The 19,962-nt window shown below is 36.1% G+C and overlaps 1 annotated feature.

Annotated features, from left to right (window-relative positions):
* Positions 12,585 to 12,741: a silencer, noted in NCBI's record as "fragment chr1:221750608-221750764 (GRCh37/hg19 assembly coordinates)". NCBI's record gives its function as "represses an EF-1alpha promoter that drives an FKBP-Casp9 reporter gene in an ReSE screen in phorbol 12-myristate 13-acetate-treated (for megakaryocytic differentiation) K562 erythroleukemia cells {active_cell/tissue: K562(+PMA)}" and the evidence as "EXISTENCE:reporter gene assay evidence [ECO:0000049][PMID:32094911]".

The following is a 19,962-nucleotide window of genomic DNA, read 5'->3' on the forward strand; positions in this document are numbered from 1 at the left end:
GAAGCAACTAACCAGTCTACTAAAAGATTAAGACATATATACATACGCGAGGTATTGGAAATGATTAGTGGCATTTTTCTTAAATATTGCTGTTCTACCCTTTGTAATTTTTAATTGATAATCAAATATCCAGCTGCCGTTCTGCCTAATTGTGACTCTTTTCCATGCTATTATTTAGCAGTAAAAGTAATTCTGCTTGCCATAATATCATGTCAGTTATGAATTAGATTATCAAAGCAGGGAGATCTGGGGTGTGTACAAGGGAAAATACCACCTGTATAATCCCTTTATGTAGGACTTGCCACCACTCTAAGTTAAAGATCATGGGGGACCCTTTCCATGCTGCCTAATGCAGCAGAGCCTAACAATATGGCAAGTGCTCAGCCTAAATCGTTGCTAAATGAACAACATCAGCATTTTTTGAGTTCTCTGAACTCATGTTCTCCTTGAACACACCAAGATAAGGTACTTTCCTCAGCCTAGAGGAGAACTATGACTTCTCCTTGTTTAGTTGTTCTGGCTTTAGAATTTATTCCCACAAATCAACTCCTATAGAAACATTCTTACAAAAAAAAAAAAAAAGAGAGAGAGCGAGAGAGAGAATATTTTATTCTTTAAAAAATAATTTCAGCTTTTATCTTTAGATACAGAGGGTATATGTGCAGATTCCTTATGTTAGGAATATTGAGTGATGCTGGGGTACTTTTTTCCTCTTGAAAATGGGATGAAGGAAATGAGAGTCTAGTGTTTTCTTTCATCAGAATTATCAAAACAGTCAGCAAAAATTACTTATGTTTGCAGAAGTTTCACAAATGAAGGAAAGGTCACAACTAACAAAGGCTGATAGGAGAGGAGAGGCTCCCTGGCAGAACTTGCCTTAGAAAATGGAAAGAACCAGACCTCATCCTGCCAAACACGTTCAGTCTTTTCACCTTTTTTTTTTTCTTTAGGAGATTTCTGATGACTAAAGCTGCTTAAGAGATCCTTAAATAACATTTTGGTCCAAGTAACTAGCTGATTTTTTTAAAGAGCTCAATACAACTGTCAGTATGGACACAGGCAATATGATGTTAAAATAGTGTTGATTCCACTAAGTGTTCACAGGGTGAGCATTTTATTATACGCCACTGAGAGGTCTGGGTATGAGACCCTTTCTTTCTCAGCCCTATTTTTAGAGGGCACATGTGATACGTGGCACTTGCACCTGTCATTAGGAAGCTCAACAGCCAACGGCCTGTTTGTGCTACTACTGTATGTGTGTCCAAATGGTGAGACCAGTGCTGGGGCTGAGGCTGTGTAAAGGTCATGATCACCCACGGCCTTCAGAAAAAGATATGCTTGCTGGTCCTTTTAACCTACATGCCCTTCGCTCAGAGTCAAGCATTAACATCCCAATTGTAATTACAATTGTTTTGCAGGAAGAAGACTGGCTTCCCAGTTTATTTGTTAAAACAAACAAAAACAAAACAACATACGTACATACAAATACATAACATATACACATATGTATTTACATATGAAAGATTTAAAATTATGTACCAAACTTAACCATTACAACCTATAGGTAGAGAAGAATTGGATTTAAAAATAAAGGGAGAAGAATATTTTAACTTAACTTTTACTCTATGAACCTTGGTATTATTTGAATTTTATGTTCATTACCACTACTGTGATTTTTAAATTTCTTGGCACAGAAGCTGTTATGTAATAGGAATTTAAGGGAAAAAAAGAAAGAGAATGAGAAAGAGAGGGAGGGAGAAAGGAAAGGAATAGAAATAGAAAGGAAGAGTATGTACAAATTGTCAAGAGCCACATCCATCAGCTCTGAATGAATGGAGTGATTAGAGATGAATGGAGCTAATTCAGAAAGACTTTATGAAATGGTTGAATTTGTGCTGCATTTGTAAAACAATTTAAAAAATAATGATATACTTACTATATCCTATAACATGTTTATTCCAAAAAAAAATGGATTATATAGAGAAGCACAAAGAAGAAAATGAGCATTACCAGGAACCCAGTCTCACAGAGAAAAACCACAGCTAACATTGCACTGGCTTTCCTTTCATTCTTCTCTTCTCTTTGTTTTTTTTCTTAGACTACATTTTGAAGGGCAACAGAAACAAGGTGTAGCAGAGAGAATGAGGTAGATGTGGGGAGGACATTCTAGAAGAGCAATGAAAGAAGTGTGTACCTGAAGCTCCCTTATCTCAAGGCTGAGATCTCAGAGAGATCTTGTCTGGACCTGGAGTACTGGTATTGTGTCTATCCCTGAAACTTTGCCATAGGGACAGGCTCGCTTGATCTTAGTTGACTCCTCCTCTGTAAAATGCAGATATTCTCTTTATCCTGCCCACCTTGCTGCATTAGGTACATAGAAAAAGCACACCCCAAAAGTTCCTTACAAATCAATTTTTACCTGCAATCCAAAATAATAATATTATGCAGGTTTGTGAACTAGCTCCCAAAAGTCTATTTAAACCAAAGGTAGTTGAAATTCTGTACTGGGTATTTATAGCAATATATCATTTTTTCACTATGCGTGTACCATTTTTAGTCACCATATGGGCACTTTAAGGCAAATTCTGTGTATTTATCTGGGAACCCAACCGACATTTATTTATCTGAGAAAATGCATTTTATTGGTTTATACAGGGGACTACTGTTAGCCCTACCTACAATTCTGGGGCATCTCTTGGCAGCATTATTAGCAAGCAGGGAAGACTGCAGACTGGGGACAGGTTTCATTTTTTAAGAGCACTCCTCAAACCGATAATGCATAGATCTATCTGATAACAGAAAAATAGCCACAACAACATGTGAAAGCAGTAATGATCACAGCTATCCTTTATTGAGGAATAACTATACTCCTGGAATACTTTATGTGCATTATTGTGTTTAACTTTCAAATCAACTCTATGACAGTTACAGTACTCTTCTCCATTTTATAAAGGAGGAAACAAAGCACAGAGAGGTGAAATAAGTTACTCAAGGTCATTCCATTTAGATTGATGCAGAGCCAGCATTTTCAGCTAAAGTCTGGCTCCATAGCTAAAGCTCTTATCATTTGTTAACACACAGGCAGATAGGTGAACCTAGGTTACCATTTGTGATCGCCATCACTAGGAAGTCATGCTAGGCTATTTTAAAGATCGTTCGGGTATTTTGTGAGTTCTTCTGAAGGGTAAGAAGACAGTAACGGTAGAAATCTGACCTCTCTCCCAGAGATGTTTAACAAGCAATTGCCCAACCCTACTCACACTCCTTCCAGAGGTGATGCCCTGGGCAGCCTGGCATTGGAGAAATGTGTTCACTCTGCTTGAAGTGGTGATGCTGTCACTACCTGTCACTAGGAAAGTTCATTTAAGGTTCTATGAACAAAGAGTCTGATGTTAGGATTTGGTGTGTGTGGGGGTGGGGGGATTTATAGTCATTCCATTCTCTCCTGCAGTGCCCATTTCTCTGCTGGATCCATATTTCTGAGTCATCTCTCAATTAGAATCAACCATCCATAACATGCTCAAAAATGCGTCCTTTGATGCTAGCCTCTACACATTTTTTTTGTTTTGCTATATTGCTTATAATGTTTGTGCAGCTGCTTTGAGAGCTAAATATGCAATCAATGTGATGCAATCATGTTCCTTCCTTATCAGAGAAGGGAGAAAATGTCAACTTGAATTTTAGGCAATTTTCAAGAACTCCACGATACAAAATCATAAGTGTATTTAATTGATGTGATCTTAATTGGAATCACAAGGGAAATTGGAATGTACTTGCAGTTCAGTTGTTTGTGTTTTTAATAGCACTGTTTGGCTGAGATTGGACCATTATCTGTCTCTGATTCACCAAATGTTGGAGAGTTTGTATTTCTAAAGTTTGATGAAAACTGAATGCTATGTTACAGTATTTTTTTCTGGCCTTTTTTGTTATGCTCTTTCTTATGAGATTTCGATTTTTTGGGTTATGATTTGAGAATGAGCTACCATAAGTACACATAAATACGTACTTCTGTTCATATTCTAGCAATTAGAAATACATTTATAGTCATTTCTTGTTTGTTATTATAACTGGTGATATTTATTTATTCACTTGTTTATACAAACATTTATTCAATCAATAAATGCCTGCTGAGCCCAAGCCATCTCTTTGTCTGTGTGATAAGAACAGAAGATGGATAACTGAACAAGACTAAATCCCTGCTCTCAGGGTCTCACGGTAGTTGGAGAGATGAGCAAGTAAAGCACATGGAAGTCCTGGGGTAGAAGTATGCAGAGGGTGCTGAGGGAGAAGAGAGAAAGCTATAGCTAGACTGAGGAAGGTCAATAAATTTAAAACATAGGGCTAAATTTTACCAGAGCATGAAAAAATGATGACCCCAGAGGTCAAAGTGATTGGAGAGATTTTGCTTTGTTTTTAAGTTATCTTGCCTATGTTAATCAAACTGAATAAACTTTTAAAATTGCATTCATTTTTCATCACTGATGTTCTTCCATTAAATTCAAACTGGAAGAGCTCATAAAAAAAGAGATCAGGCTATTTAGTTTGTTAAATTGGTATGTATTATCCTAGGTTTTCAGATACCAATGTTGCATATTTCTATTGAAAGCGCTTTTTATAAAGCATCATATTACATGGACTAGAACTAGGACGTGGCTTTGTCCAGAGAAGTGCATTCATTCAATACATCAAAAATGTGTTAGGTATTGATTTTACCACATTTCTGTCCTCAAGTTAAAATCTAGAAAGGGAAGATATAATCAGTTACCCAAATTGATTTAACATTCAAGGAGTTTTTTAACTGCATTTTCAGTCCTATTCATTCATAAGTAACATCACAGAAAAGCCTAAAGACGCCTAATGTCAAAGACCATATTGCACTTTTTCAAGTGGGAGTAAAGAAGCAACAGTGATCCCGGCATGGCATTCTAGTGTTTGTTAGCTTCCTTGGGGTGATCATAGGCCCTAGTCACACCCTGAAAAGACAGAAAGTTTCAAACACTGACATGGCTAAAAGATTTAGGAGAGAAAATGGCACTGTGATGGGACAAATACTGGAAAAAAAAAAAAAAAGGAAACAAAAAAAGAGATTGGTTCTGTTCTGTTCCTAGCTCATCACTCTCTATGCATATGACTTTGAAGAATTTCTTAATGTTTCTAATCCTTAATTGCTTCATCTAAGATACAGGAGAATGGAATATATGATTCATAGACTCTAAAATATGAATTCTAAGAGAAATACAACATTTGAGATGACTCTTGGTTACGTAGCTTGAATCAGTCAATAAAGAGAATTTAGTTAAAAGGCTTTTGATAAAGAATCAGAGGTTAAAAGGGCTTTTGATAGAGAATCAGAAAACCAGATTTCAAGTTCTAAGTCTCCTGCTAACTTATCTGTGTAACATTGGACCAGCCACTTCCTCAGTCCTTAGTTGCCTCTTCTATGAAACAGTATGGGATATGTGGTAGGTGGGGAATGGTTTGGAGACATGAGCTATATTATTGCTATGCCATATTCCGGTTCTAGCCTTCAATGGTTACACAGATGTGTCAAGATTCCCTGAGAAATTGTACAAGTCCTTCTCTAGTTTCCCTAAAATAGTATACACTTACCTTCTCTGGAAGGGAGAAGCAAGGTGGCCATTTTCATTTTATAATGCCAAGTGATCTTTCTAATACAGCTTAGATTGTGAAGTTCTAATGAAATTGAAATTAACTAGGACAATTTATCTTATTTAAGACCTCATGATAAATGCTTTCATTCATAGGCTAAGACAGGAGGTTCTTTCTTCTTCTATTTTCTTTGATTATTTCCAAAACTAGAAGGCTTCTTATCCCTTTGAAGATTGTTTACCTCTAGAAAATGAGTTCATGCATCCTACAGCTTGTTCTTCTCTGGGTGTCCTCATGCTAGTAAATTGTGTTGATACAGAGACAAGACAGATGTTCTTGTAAGCTTCCTCCAAACTCTAGAAGACTGCGGTACACATTGTAGGCCCATTCGATTTGCTTACTTGAGGGTCCAGTCACAAAGGATTTTAAAGAGCTATTAGAAACCTTTTGAACTCTCATTTCTACCTTTGTTAAATGATAGTCTTTCTTGCATGCATGAGCCCAGAGAAGAAATGTAATAATTTAACTAAATTTGGAGCTGATAACACTTGTTGATATTTTTATAGTCTGTCCTTTACAGAGAACTTTCACGTATATTATCCTAGCAAAACATGCAGACTGTGTAACAGTAGTTCACTTAACTAATGAGAAACCCAAAGCCTAGTTTAGTAGGTGATGTGTCCAAGGACACACAGCTAAGGAGGACTACAGCAGGAGTTGAAGCCAAATCCTCTCCATCTTTAGTGATAGCTAGTTCAGTCTCCACTACTTAGTATCGATCCCCAAATGGGGGCCCCTTGTGACCCATGGGGAGAACTGTTGAGTGTGATAGGAACAGTAGTCTTTATATCACGAATATGGGGATTAGTAAAAGATTCTCTTTTAGCTTTTAATCTCTACTCCCTCTTTCCTCATCTTTAACACATACTGTGACCTTGAAAAGAGATAGAAACCAAAAATCTTCAAGTGGCTTTTTGGTTAATGAATTACTTAATAGTACTTCTTGGAAATTATTGGATGCTTTCTTTGTGTTTTAGAAGGTGATACAATAAGTAGTGTATTTCTTCTCTCCTGGGTTGGAAGACTTTGCAGCTCCATAGCCAGTGACAGAATTTCTAATGCAAGGCCATGGCCTGATTGGTTTTATTCCTTGCTTGATTCTCCCAACCAGGGTCAAAGTCAGAAGTAGATTTATGTGGAAAAAGCCCAATATTCATCAACCAGTGAATGAATAAACGAAATGTGGTACACACATACAGAGGATATTATATTTGGCTACATAAAGGAAATAATGTTAGATGCTGCATTAATGTGAATGAATCCTGAGAACATTATCTATCCTAAGTGAAAGAAAGCAGTGATAAAATACCAAATATTTTAAGATTATATTGATCTGAATCTTCCAAAGCAGGGAAATATTTAGAGACAGAAAGTAGATAAGCAGTTGCTTAGGGCTGGGGGAATAAGAGAGTGATAGCTAGAATATGGAGTTTCTTTTTAGATGATAAAAATGTTCTAAAGTTTATGGTGAGTATGATTGTACAACACTATTGAACTTTACACTTTAAATGGGTGAAATACATGGTATATGAGCTATATTTCAATAAAGTTATTTTGAAAAGAAGGAGATTTATAATAATATAGCATTCTCTCTTTTGTATTCCATTACTATGTAAGGTGCCCTGATATTATTGGTCAGTAAGAGCACCTGTTACCTCTACCATTCCCTTAGCTAAGGACTGATCAACAACCATACTGGCTATGCAACCCTTTCCTTAAAAGCCACAACCACTGGCTGGGTGCGGTGGCTCATGCCTGGAATCTCAGCACTTTGGGAGGCCGAGGTGGGCCTGAGGTCAAGAGTTTGAGACCAGCCTGGACAGCATGGCAAAAACCCATCTCTATTAAAAATACAAAATTAACCAGGCATGCTGGCAGGTGCCTGTAGTCCTAGCTACCCAGGAGGTTGAAGTAGGAGAATTGCTTGAACCCAGGAGGTGGACGTTGTAGCGAGCCAAGATCATGCCACTGCACTCTATCTTGGGCAACAGAGCAAGACTCTATCTCAAAAAAAAAAAAAAAAAAGTTATAACCACACTGTATTTTCTTAAAATAAATAACTTTTTCTCCCTCGAACCCCTAGATATTTAATTCAAATCTCAGCCCTACTTACCTCATATTGCAGTTATATGTTTACTTGTGAGGTTTTTGTACTCAATCCTGAGCTCAAGCAGAGCAGGGGACATTTATTTGTCTTTGAATTCCTATCACCAACCATAGTATTTTATAGCAAGTAGGTGCTCCATAAAAGTGGAGAAGGAAAGTAGCAAAGAAGGGAGGGAGGGAAAACAACCATCTCATTTCATCAGGTGTCACTGAATTCCTGAACATCTGGAGTATAGTAGCTGCTTTGTGCATGAGGTCCTAAATCACACTCAAGTTAGTGATGTCTTTGAACAGCATGCAGTTGAGTGATGGGTTAGACATGGGTTAAATTTATGCACACGTTTAGAAAAGTGCATTCCATCAGAATGTCTGAATTTATCTAAATAAACGATTTAATCTTGGTTTATGATAAATATAATACTACTCTTTAATTATTGTCTATTTGTGGTTTACACATATGAATCCCAGAGTATATCTTTCACTCGGTCTGTGTTGGTTATAAATTTAAGTCCAGGGACCTTAGATTCTACATCTTACATGTCTCTCAAAGCATAGACCACAGAACAATTTATTAATAGAGACTTGTTCTCTGAATAAATGGCTGAATGATAAAATTAAATAAATATTCTAAAAAATTTAACAGTGTGGCAAGCCTAAATAGTGAGGTTAGGTTAGGTTGATTTTTTTTTAATGCACCATTAAGTAAACAACCTGATTCTTCATACACTAGAATTCCAGTTACTCCATGCCTGGGTCTATATGTTAGGCTATTCTGTGGTATTGATGTAAAAGAAAATATTTACCTGAAAAGACTTTTGCATCTGCAATACAAGGAGATGGAGTTATTGTACTGTACCCATAATTTCTGTGGTCATCCATGGCCAGGTACAAACATAAACCTTTTCTCTGTTTGAGCTTGTGACTCCTGGTTCCCAGGCATACCACTCCTTCCTGTCCTGGCTGCCAAACTGTTATATGTGTGAGGGAATCAAATTCTGCTCAGCACTTTCTACAGTAGCATCCTGTTAGGTCCATGCCAAAATGTAAATTATTATCACCATTAAGCACATATTAAATGCTTCCTTATGTATGATGCGGGAGAATGGGTTTCATAGCTAGAGTCCTGGTCTTCTATGAGTTTATATATTCTTTTGAGCAAGGCAGTTGAAAACTGGACTGGAAATCTGGTGGTTACCTGCATAAGGACATTTTTAGCAAGGGTGACAAGAGTAAAATTTGTCATTTTGTCTACAGAAAACTTTTTTTGTGAAGCAGGAAGCAAATAATCAGGTCAAGTGTGTGAATTTTAAGGTAGTACTTGGGCGTATTGGAGCTATCTTATTTGTTCTCTACTGGGAAATTTGATCCAATGGGGAAGGATTAGGATGGGCTCAGGTCCAAGAATTACGGCTGCTATTTCCAATGCTTCCCGCAACTCAGCAACGCTGCCTTCACTATGCCTGGGGCAGGGCCAACCTCAGGGCAATGTGAGGCCACACTGAGTGTCCCTAGGTGGCCTTATGTATGAGAAAAAACTAGTTCTCCTGCAAACTAATGCATTTCTGTATTGTGCAACTCTTCAATAGACCAGGATCCCAGATGGATGACATGTGATGGAGACTTTGGGGAGAAAAGGGAAGCCAGCACGGGCAGAGTTGTTTTGAATTTTCTTCAACCCAGACTAGCTTCTCCAAAGTCACTCATTTGATTGAGTGTTTACTAAGCAGCTACTATGTGCCAGGCACTATTCTAAATAATGGGAGTACTATGAAGCATAAAATAGACTCTTCCATGGGACTTATTTTTTGACGGAGGAGTTGTACACATATGGGCACCCTCTCAAAAAACCTATTGAGCTTCCCTAGTTTGCTGCAGCTGCCCAAGGATTTTCCTTCTAACTGGGCATTTTCTAGGCCAGAGAAATTCATTTAAGAGAGGACATAAGACATAAGCAAGAATGCTTATTACAACTTAACACAATCAAAGTCCTCATCTTGAAGAGTAAAATATTATGTCTGATATCCCTTTGTGATAGGCAATGACTACAGAAAGAGGTAAGGCCTCAAAGTCAGACTCTTTAAGTTTGAATCCTGGCTCTTCCACTTACTAGCTACATGTTAGTAGGTAAGTTACTTACACTATCTGCATCGCAACTTCATTTGTAAAATGGGCATAATGTTAACAGCCACCTCATAGAGTAACCATGAAAATTAAATGAGGTAAAGTACCTGGAATGTTGTACATGTTCCTGTTTATTTTTCAGTGTTAACTTATTATAAATATGCCAGTTTGGAATGTGCCTCAGCTGTCTTACTGGATGAGTACTTTCAGCTCTATTCTAACTTTCGCAGGGTAGAGGCCTTGTTTTGTATATCATTGTCTTTCCTATAGTAATTCTTCCAAGGGTTCTACACACAATAGGGGATCAGTCAGTGCTTGCTGATTTCTGCTAAGAAAATGAATTGAATGTCATTTATATGGCTTTGATGTTGCTGAGGTGAGCACACAGTATATATTAAGTCATCTTACCTTCCACCTTCTTCAATTCTGTCCAGAGTCCCTATATTCTTCCCTATCAGCCAGAGTCCAGGTCCTAGGTTTCTGCCTCCTCCCTTTCATTAAAAAAATACTCAATTAAACTCCAATGATCAAGTCTTGGGACAGTGCCCTTTGTCATATCTCTTTTATTCATTCTGCTACTTTTAGTCCACCAATAGCTTCCCTGTCTAGAATCTTATCATCTTATGATAACAACTTTATCTTTGTTGGTAAAGTTGTTGCCCCTGACTCAGATTATGAATGCTGAATATTTGGTTTCCCCCCACTAACAAAGAGCAACCAGGAATCATTTTATTATCACATACCAAATATATGTTAATGGAAAGTTCCTACCACCTATGAATCCCAAGGAAGAGGAAGAAAGAAGGTGGGGATAGATACCTGAGAATTGTTTTGAAATGTGATCCTTTTCTCCCCTCTATAAGTGAGAAAAAGCACACTCAGCCTCTGGCTTGTTATCTAAAGCAGGGGTCCCCAACCCTCAGGCCATGGATGGGAACCGGTCCATGTCGTGTTAGGAACCAGGCTGCACAGCAGGAGGTGAGGGGCAGGTGAGTGAGCATTACCACCTGATCTCCGCCTCCTGTCAATTCCGTGGCAGCATTAGTTTTTCAGAGGGGCCAAACCCTCTTGTGACCTGCGCATGCAAGGGATCTAGATTACGGGCCCCTTATGAGAATCTAGCTAATGCCTGATAATCTGAAGCGAAACAGTTTCATCCTGAAGCTACTCCCCTCCTCCATCCATGGAAAAATTGTCTTCCGTGAAACTGGGCCTGGTGCCAAAATGGTTAGAGACAGCTAATCTTAAGGGAGTGAATATACTGTCATACTAAGAAACCCTTCTCATGTGTGAAAGATATTACTTTGTAAGACGAAAAGAAGTTATAAAGCAAAAGCTGCCTAATACTGAATTGATCAGAGTTCAAGAAGACTCCCTTTGTCTTCCGTCTCTCAAAATATTCTGAAGCACTTGCCCTCTTGCATTGGGAATAAGTGACTCTGACAAAGTTTTTTTTCTCATAGCTGAATCCATATCAACATATATTTATCAATTCATTCCATTTTATTTTATAGGCATGCTGCCTCCGTAATTGATTACAGTAAGAAACACCTAGAAAACTTTAAAAACAAAATATATCCTGAACTTCTGGAAAATATGAAATAACAGGGAGTGGATTTATCCTCCTGAATGAAACAAGTAAAAAGTGAAAAAATATATGAAACAGTGTCATTCAAAAAAATGGTCTCAGATAATGAAGGATCATGATAACTGTTAAGAGAAAAAAGCTTTAGACTTACTAAATTTAGCAAAGTTTATTTGTGCAAATAATGATTCATGAAACAGGCAGCACGTTTAACCAGGAGAGATTCAGAGCTCTTCACCCAGCAAGGGGGGCAGGTGGTATTTTCAGATAGAAAAAAGGACTTACCAAAACAACTTGATTGGTTACAGCTCAGCATTTGCCTTATATGGACATGGTCTGCTCAGTCAGCAGCCTGCGATTGGCTGAAACTCAGTTACTTGTTATAAGAACACATTCTTAAGTTAGGTTGCAGTTTGTTTATATACTAAGTTAGGTTGTAGTTCACTATGTACGAATTCAAAGTATAGAGGCATCTTTAAGACAAATTCAATTTAATTAAACACAACTAAGATGGGAAACAAGTGAGAGAAACCAAATGACCACTCTGGCTTGCTGACTGGGTAACTTTAGGAAATGACACAGACAAGGGGAACCTAGACAGAGCTCTGCATTCTCTTTGATTAAAGTCTTAGAGCTGAAACTTCAGGGATGTCAACAAAGCTATAGTTTACAGTGAGAAATACAGTACAGGAGAGAGCTTCAGGGAAGGAGAACCCCAGAGATCTGTAGAGGGTATTCCAGGAGAACTCTGCTGAATACTGACCTGAACATGAATATAAAGAAACTACCCATGGCTAGAAAAAGAGTCATTGCAAAAGATTAGAAGAAATAGTGCCTAAGCTCACATAGGGCTGGATATATTGTCCCTAATAATTAAAGGAAAGCATACTTTAGGAATAATTAGTTAAAGTACTAACAATGATCTTACCTCAGTAGTGAGAAAAATTAACCTTAAACTAAAATGCAGGCCAAGTGTGGTGGCTCACGCCTGTAATCCCAGCACTTTGAGAGGCTGAGGCAGGCGAATCATGAGGTCAGGAGTTTGAGACCAGCCTTACCAACATGGTGAAACCCTGTCTCTACTAAAAAAAAAATTACAAGAATTAGCTGGGTGTGGTGGCAGGCACCTGTAGTCCCAGCTACTTGGGATGCTGAGGCAGGAGAATCGCTTGAACCCGGGAGGCGAGGTTGCAATAAGCCGAGATCGCGCCACTGCATTCCAGCCTGGGCGATTCAGTGACACAGTGAGACTCTGTCTCAAAAAAAAAAAGAAAAGAAAAATAGATCAATTGTCACTGACCCATAAATGACACAGATGATAGAATCAGAAGACAAGAATATTAAAGAGTTGTAATTTATTCCATATGTTCAAGAAGTTACAAAAAAAGATTAAACATGTTAACTAGCTACATGGAAGATATACAAAAGACCTTAATAGAACTATTAGAGACAAAAATTACAATGTCTGATAAAACACAGTGGATGGAAATAATAGCAGATTAGTTATTGCAAAAGAGAAGATTAGTGAACTTAAAGACATAGGAATAATAATTTCCCAAAATGTGACACATTGAAAAAAGTGAACAAACTTCAGTTAACTTAGGATAATTTTAAGCAGCCAAATAGATGTATAATTGGAGTCTATGAAGGAAAAGATTGGGTGATATATTTGTAGAATAAAGGGCTAAACTATGAATCCACATATCTTAAAAGTTCAATAACCCTTGAGTAAAGAAATAGGAAAAAGGTACAAAAAAGAAAATCTTTATTGAATTACTTAAAACAAGTGATAAAGTGAAAAAGTCTAAAGCAGCTAGAGAAAAAAAGATACGTGAACAGGAGAATAAGGATAAGGATGACAGCCGATTTTTGTCAGTAGTCATGCAAACGAGAGCAGAACAATATTTTTTAACTATTAAGGGGAAACAATCTTGTTAAACTAGAACTTTTACCTAGAAAAAAATACATTTCAAAATAAAGGTAAAGACCTTTTCCATGCATAGACAAGCTGAAAGAATAAATCACCAGCAAACTTGCACCGCAAAAAAATGTTAAAGAAAGTCCATGGGGCAGAATGAAAATGATACCATAGGAAAATCTGGAGCTACACAAAGAAATTAAGAACATTGAAAATGGTAACTACATGGGAAAGTAGAAGGTATTTTTCTTGTCATTTAAATTTCTTCAAAAGAGAATCAAATATTTAGAGGAAAAACGGTAACAATATATTGTAGGATTATAACACATGTAGAGTGGATGGGATGACCACCATAATTCAAAGTGAAGAAATGAAAGTATACCGTTTTAGGTTTTTATACTTTATATGATGTGATATTATTTGGTTGTATATCATGAGAAGTTAAATTATGTATTCTTTAAACCCTAAAGCAATCACCAAAATAACATAATACAACAATTAGTTGTAGCTAATGAACCCACAAATAAGAAAAAATTAATTATAAAAATACACAAGCAAGAAGGGTCAAGGGACCAATAATTGTGATGATTGCACAATGATGTGAATATACTTAATGTCACTGAACTATATCTATATCTATATAAAATATATAATAAATAGTTAAAATGATAAATTTTATGTTACATATATTTTACCATAATGAAAAATATTCAATCAAAACAAGGCAGAAAAAGAGGACAGAACAACCCAAACTGAATGGACAAATAGAAAACAAATAGAAGGGAATAGATTTAAAGCCAACCATATCAATAACTACATTTAACAGAAAAGATTTAAATATATGGATTTTTTAAAAATGATTGTAAAAATAGATAAAAATCAAGACCTAACCTTATTTTTGCCAACAAAAACCAACTTTGAATATAAAGATTAAAAAAAGATAAAAATAACTAAAAGAATGCCCAGTGTAGTGGCTCACACCTATGATCCCAACTACTTGGGAGGCTGAGGCAGGAGAATTGCTTAAACCTGAGAGGTGGAGGTTGTGGTGAGACAAGAGCATGCCACTGCACCCCAGCCTGGGCAACACAGCTAGACTCCATCTCAAAAAAAAAAAAAGTATGTAAAAGAAAGCTAGAGTTCCTATATTAATATCAGAAAAAGTAGATTTCAGAGTAAAGCATAAAACCAGGGATAAAGTGGATCAATTCAGGAGAAGGACATCAACATCCTAAATATTTACACACCTGCTAACACAATATCAAAGTAAATAAAACAAAAGCTAATAGAATTAAAATAAGTAGACAAATCTACAATTGCAGTCGAAGATTTCAACATTCCTCTCTCAATAATTGTTTGAACAAGATGGAAAATTAGTACAGATACTGAAGACTTGAAAAACACTTTAAGTCAACTTGATGGAACTGATATGTGTGTGTGTATATACATATATATATATATTTTTTTTTTTTTTGAAACAGAGTCTCGCTCTGTCGCCCAGGCTGGAGTGCAGTGGCGCGAACTCGGCTCACTGCAAGCTCCGCCTCCCAGTTTCCCGCCATTCTCCTGTCTCAGCCTCCAGAGTAGCTGAGACTACAGGTGCCCGCCAACATGCCCAGCTAATTTTTTGTATTTTTTTTTTTTAGTAGAAACGGGGTTTCACCGTGTTAGCCAGGATGGTCTCAATCTCCTGACCTCGTGATCCGCCCGCCTCGGCCTCCCAAAGTGCTGGGATTACAGGCATGAGCCACCGCGCCCGGCCGGAACTGGTATTTATAGATTACTCCACCTAACAACAACAGAATGCACAATCTTTTCATGTGCGTGTGAGACATTCATGAAGATTTTTATAAATGATATGAAAACTTTATCCTGGTCAATAAATCAAGTCACAACTAATACAAACAGATTCAAGTCATGCAAATTGTATTATTTAACAATAATGAAATTAAATTATGAGCAAATAGTGAAAGGCTATCAAGTAGATCTCTAAATATGGGGAAATTAAATAAATAGTACTAAAAGAAGAAAAAAATATAATCCTCTCAATAGATGCAGAAAAAGTATTTGACAAAATCTAACATGTTTTCATGATTTAAAAAAGAAAAAAACAAAACTTCTCAACAAACTGAGAATAGAAGGGAATTTCTGTTCTTGAAGGGATACCCGATAATGGTCCCTATGAAAATGTGTAGCTGAAATGAAATCATACCTAATGGTGAAAGAAAACAAAGCAAGGATGTTTGCTATCACCATCTATGTTTAATATTACATTGGAGGTGACAGCTGGTATAGTAAGGCAAATAGCAAAAATTAAAAGTACATAGAGTATATTTTTAAAAAACTAAAAGAGTATAATTGGATTGTTTGCAACACAAAGAAAGCATAAATGCTTGAGGGGATGTATACCCCATTAATCCTGATGTAATTATTACACTTTTTATGCCTATGTCACACCATCTCATGTACTTCATAAATATATAGATATATGCCCTATGTACCCACAAAAATTAAAAATAAAAAAATGAAATAAGTAGATGGACAGGAGAGAAAAAAACAAAAGTTTTTATTTGAAGACATGATCATATATATATAGAAAATCTCATGGAATCTACAGGAAAAGTTACAGTAAGTAACATATGAGTTTTATAAGGTTGCAAGATATAAGACCAATATACAAAAAGAACAATTCTATTTCAATATAGTAGCAACAAAAACTGAAATTAATAAAATAATATATTTACAACATCATAAAATACAGAATACTTATGGATGATCTGATAAAATACATGCACATGACACGGAAATCTATAAAATTATTGAGAGAAATTTAAAAGACCTAAATAGATGGAAAGATGTACCATGCTATGCTTATAGATCAGACTGTAAATTTTTCTAGAATTCATCACAATCCAGTCAAAATCCAAATGAGCTTTTGCAGAAATTAATAAACTGTTTCTAAAATGTATATAAAAATGCAAGAGATCTAGTATAAACAAAATTTGACAAAGAATAACAAAGTTGGAGGACTAACACTTTTTAATTTCATGATCTATTATACAGCTACAGAAATCAAAACAGTATGGTAATGGCATCAAAATAGACAGATTAATGCAATGAAATAGACCTACACATTGATCTTCAATCCATTTTTGACAAAGATCCACAGGCAATCTTGTGAAGAGAAGATAGTCATTTTAACAAATAGTGCTGAAAAAATTGGATATCCATATGCAAAAATATGAACTTCAGTTCATACCATGCACCACATACAGAAACCAATCCAAAAAGGATAATAAACTTAAAGGTACAACTTAAAACTGTAAAAGTCTTAAAACTTAAGACTTCTAGAAGAAAACATAGGAATAAATATTTGTGATTGTGAGTTCAAAAACAGTTTTTTAAATATAATAACAATAGCACAATCCACAAAATTAAAAATTGATAAACATAGTTAGGAATTTTTGCTCTTTAAAAGATACTGCTAAGAGAGGAGCCATACCTTCAGTTTTTGACTTGGCTTTCAAATCACAAGCCCTGCCCCTTCCCCATCATGTGGGCGGAAATTAGTTCTCAGGCCCTGCTGCCTAGCTTAGTTTCTTCTCTGCCTCAGATTCAACATCTGTAAAATGAGAATTACATTGTTAGGAGGGGTTAGGAGTATTAAATGTAAAATGTGTAGAACAGGACAGGACCCTGATACTGTTTCCTCATCCCTGTCCCCCATTCTGGATTTAAGGGTGCCCAGAAAATGATTTGCTTTCTTCCAAAGAGCTTTTAAAAATAAGTTCCTGTGACTTCTTCAAGTGTGTTAAAAAAAAAGAAAAAGAAAAAGAATATTGGATGACACTCAGTAGCCAGTGTTCCTGTCACTGTTATCTGCTTATGAAGAGGAAATATGCCAAAGTGCCGGCCCACCTGCCTTCCTCTTTTACCCCACTTCCACCCTACCTACTGTTAACATACCCCAGGCCACAGTCTCTTATTCACAAGTCAGAGTACAAAAATCTGAAAGCCAAAAGTATTTTATTCAAATTTGGTGGCAAGATCTAACACTAGGCTTTTCATAATCTTTATTTTTCACGCTTAATATGTATACAATTTACTGCTGATTGATATATTAATGGTTGATTATGGGGAGCTGTCCTAGATTCTAAGGGGATGGGATTTCATATGCAAATGTGAACAAAGAAAGTTAGTTAGGGCTTCTAAATTGTTAAAAAAACAATTTGTGGCATTATTCTACATAAGCATTTCTAATACTATAGGTTTTATTTTGTAACTCAACTTTAAGCTTTCTTTAACTAAAACTCATCTCTGAAAGTTTGTTGTATGCTTTCCGGTCCTTAATAGTTGCCAAAGCAAAGGGTTTGCAGTCTCTTTTAAATGTATGACAGCAATCCATAGTAAGAAGTACGGTTTTCTTTATTGGGATCAAGTCCACCCATTTGACTCTGTATGTGAAATAAAAGTTTAATGAATGAATATTCCTTTGTGCAAAGTGCTCTGAGGTTTCCTAATTTATTTTAACAAAGACAGCTAGCCCCATACTATAAAAATGATTATGGAACCTGCATTTTGAAAAATATTGTTGTTTTTGTAATTGCTAAATCTGGTTTTCATTATATCAAAATTTTTCTTTTTTTAACTTTTTCAGGTTCTGGGGTACATGTGAAGGTTTGTGACATAGGTAAAGATGTGTCATGAGGGTTTCTTGTACAGACTATTTTATCACCCAGGTATTATTCTATGTGTAAGTTTGAAATTTTTCATTATAAAAAGTTAAAAAGAACAAGAAAAGAGTCAAGCCACAGACCAAGAGAAAATATTTTCTGATTACCTGCCTGATAAAGGACTTGTGCTGCAAGGTTTGTAAAGAAATATCAAGACTCTATAACAAGAAAATTAGCAATCAAATAAGAGAAAAGATTTGAACCACACTTCATTAGACAAAATATACAGATGGAAAATAAACACACAAAAAGTTGCTCAACATGAATAGACATTGGGGAAATGCAAATTAAAATCACAATGAGAAATTGCTTCACACCTATTATATTGTCCAAAATTGGTGAGAATGTGGAGGAACTGGATCTCTCTTACACTGCTTGTAGGTATGTAAATGGCTACAATGAGTTTGGAAAACAGTTTGCTTATTAAAAAGTTAAACATACATCAGATGTATGATACAACTATTCCACTCTTAGATATTTACCTAAGTTAAATATCCATATCCATGTAATACTTGTACCAAAGTTTCATAATAGCTTTATTTGAAATACAGAAGTGGAAAAACCCAAATGAGGGTGATTGATGTTTGTTATCTTGATTATGATGTTGGTTTCACAGCTGTATTCATTTGTAAAAGCTTATTAGACTGTGTACTTTACATTTCAGTTTATTATATGTCAATTACAGCTCAACAAAATTATTAAACAATTATTCCTGTGACACATTCATAGGATTAGTAACTTTTGGTAACTTCTGAATTAGACCTCTCTGGACTGTCATGACCTCATTGGCTATCCTCTGAGCTATTATTCAACTCAAATTATGTCAAGAACTATGCATGGCATTAAAGAAAAGTATGATAAATACATGCAAAGTTGATAGAGGAATACAGGAAAGGAATGCTTTGGCCAAACTTGGCAGGTCAGTAACATCTTCCTAGTATGGAAAACTCTAAACTGAGAGCTAATGGAGTCAGTCAGACAACTATTGGCGAGATTAGAGAGGCGTTTACATGCAAAGGGAACAATGTGTATAAATGATCAGTGGCAAAAGAGAGAATGGGACCTGGGGGAATACAGTGATTCAACATGACTGAGAGAATGAGTGTCAGGGAGTGCGGGCAGGTAAAAGAGGTCAGATCATGAAAGACCCCATGCCATCCTAAGGAGTTTCTGTCTGCCACCAAGAGTAATAGACTGCACAGAAGGGTTTTTATTAGGGATAAAGTGTGTGAGATGTTGTAGAAAAAAAAAACAACAACAACACTCTTCAGTGACTAGGATTGAAGGCAAGACTAGATGTAGGAAGTGCAGCTAGGAGAGTTAAACAATGAATCATCAAATTAAAGGGTGATAGGAGCCTGAACCGAGATAGTGAATGTGGGATTTGAAATATGGATAATTTGAGAGTTATTTCTTGGTTTCTGTTGTGAGAATACAAGAGGAGAGTAGTTGAATGGATAGGTTCAGTTCTGAACACTTTGAGATGCCTGCAGAACTCCAAGAAGATGTGTGACACAGGGAAGCTGCTTCAAAAGTATCTATGACTTTTTTCCTCAAACAGAGTCTGATACAAATAAAACTACATTAATGCTATTTCTTATTAATGTAAACCAGTAATATGTATAACAGGCTTTACTTATTTTCTTCATTTTACTATAAATCTGAAACATCTCAAAATTTAAAGAAATGAAAAGATACACGATACAGAGTATGGTAAATTTGAAGTCACTCTTCTATAATTTAACTAAAAACTGGATAAACTGAAAAGCTAGCCTTTTAAGACCGAACTCACAAAATAGAGAAATGTTCAAGCCCTATTTCAAAAATGA

The sequence above is a fragment of the Homo sapiens genome, chromosome 1, assembly GCF_000001405.40.
Source record: "Homo sapiens chromosome 1, GRCh38.p14 Primary Assembly".
Classification (NCBI taxonomy): Eukaryota; Metazoa; Chordata; class Mammalia; order Primates; family Hominidae; genus Homo; species Homo sapiens.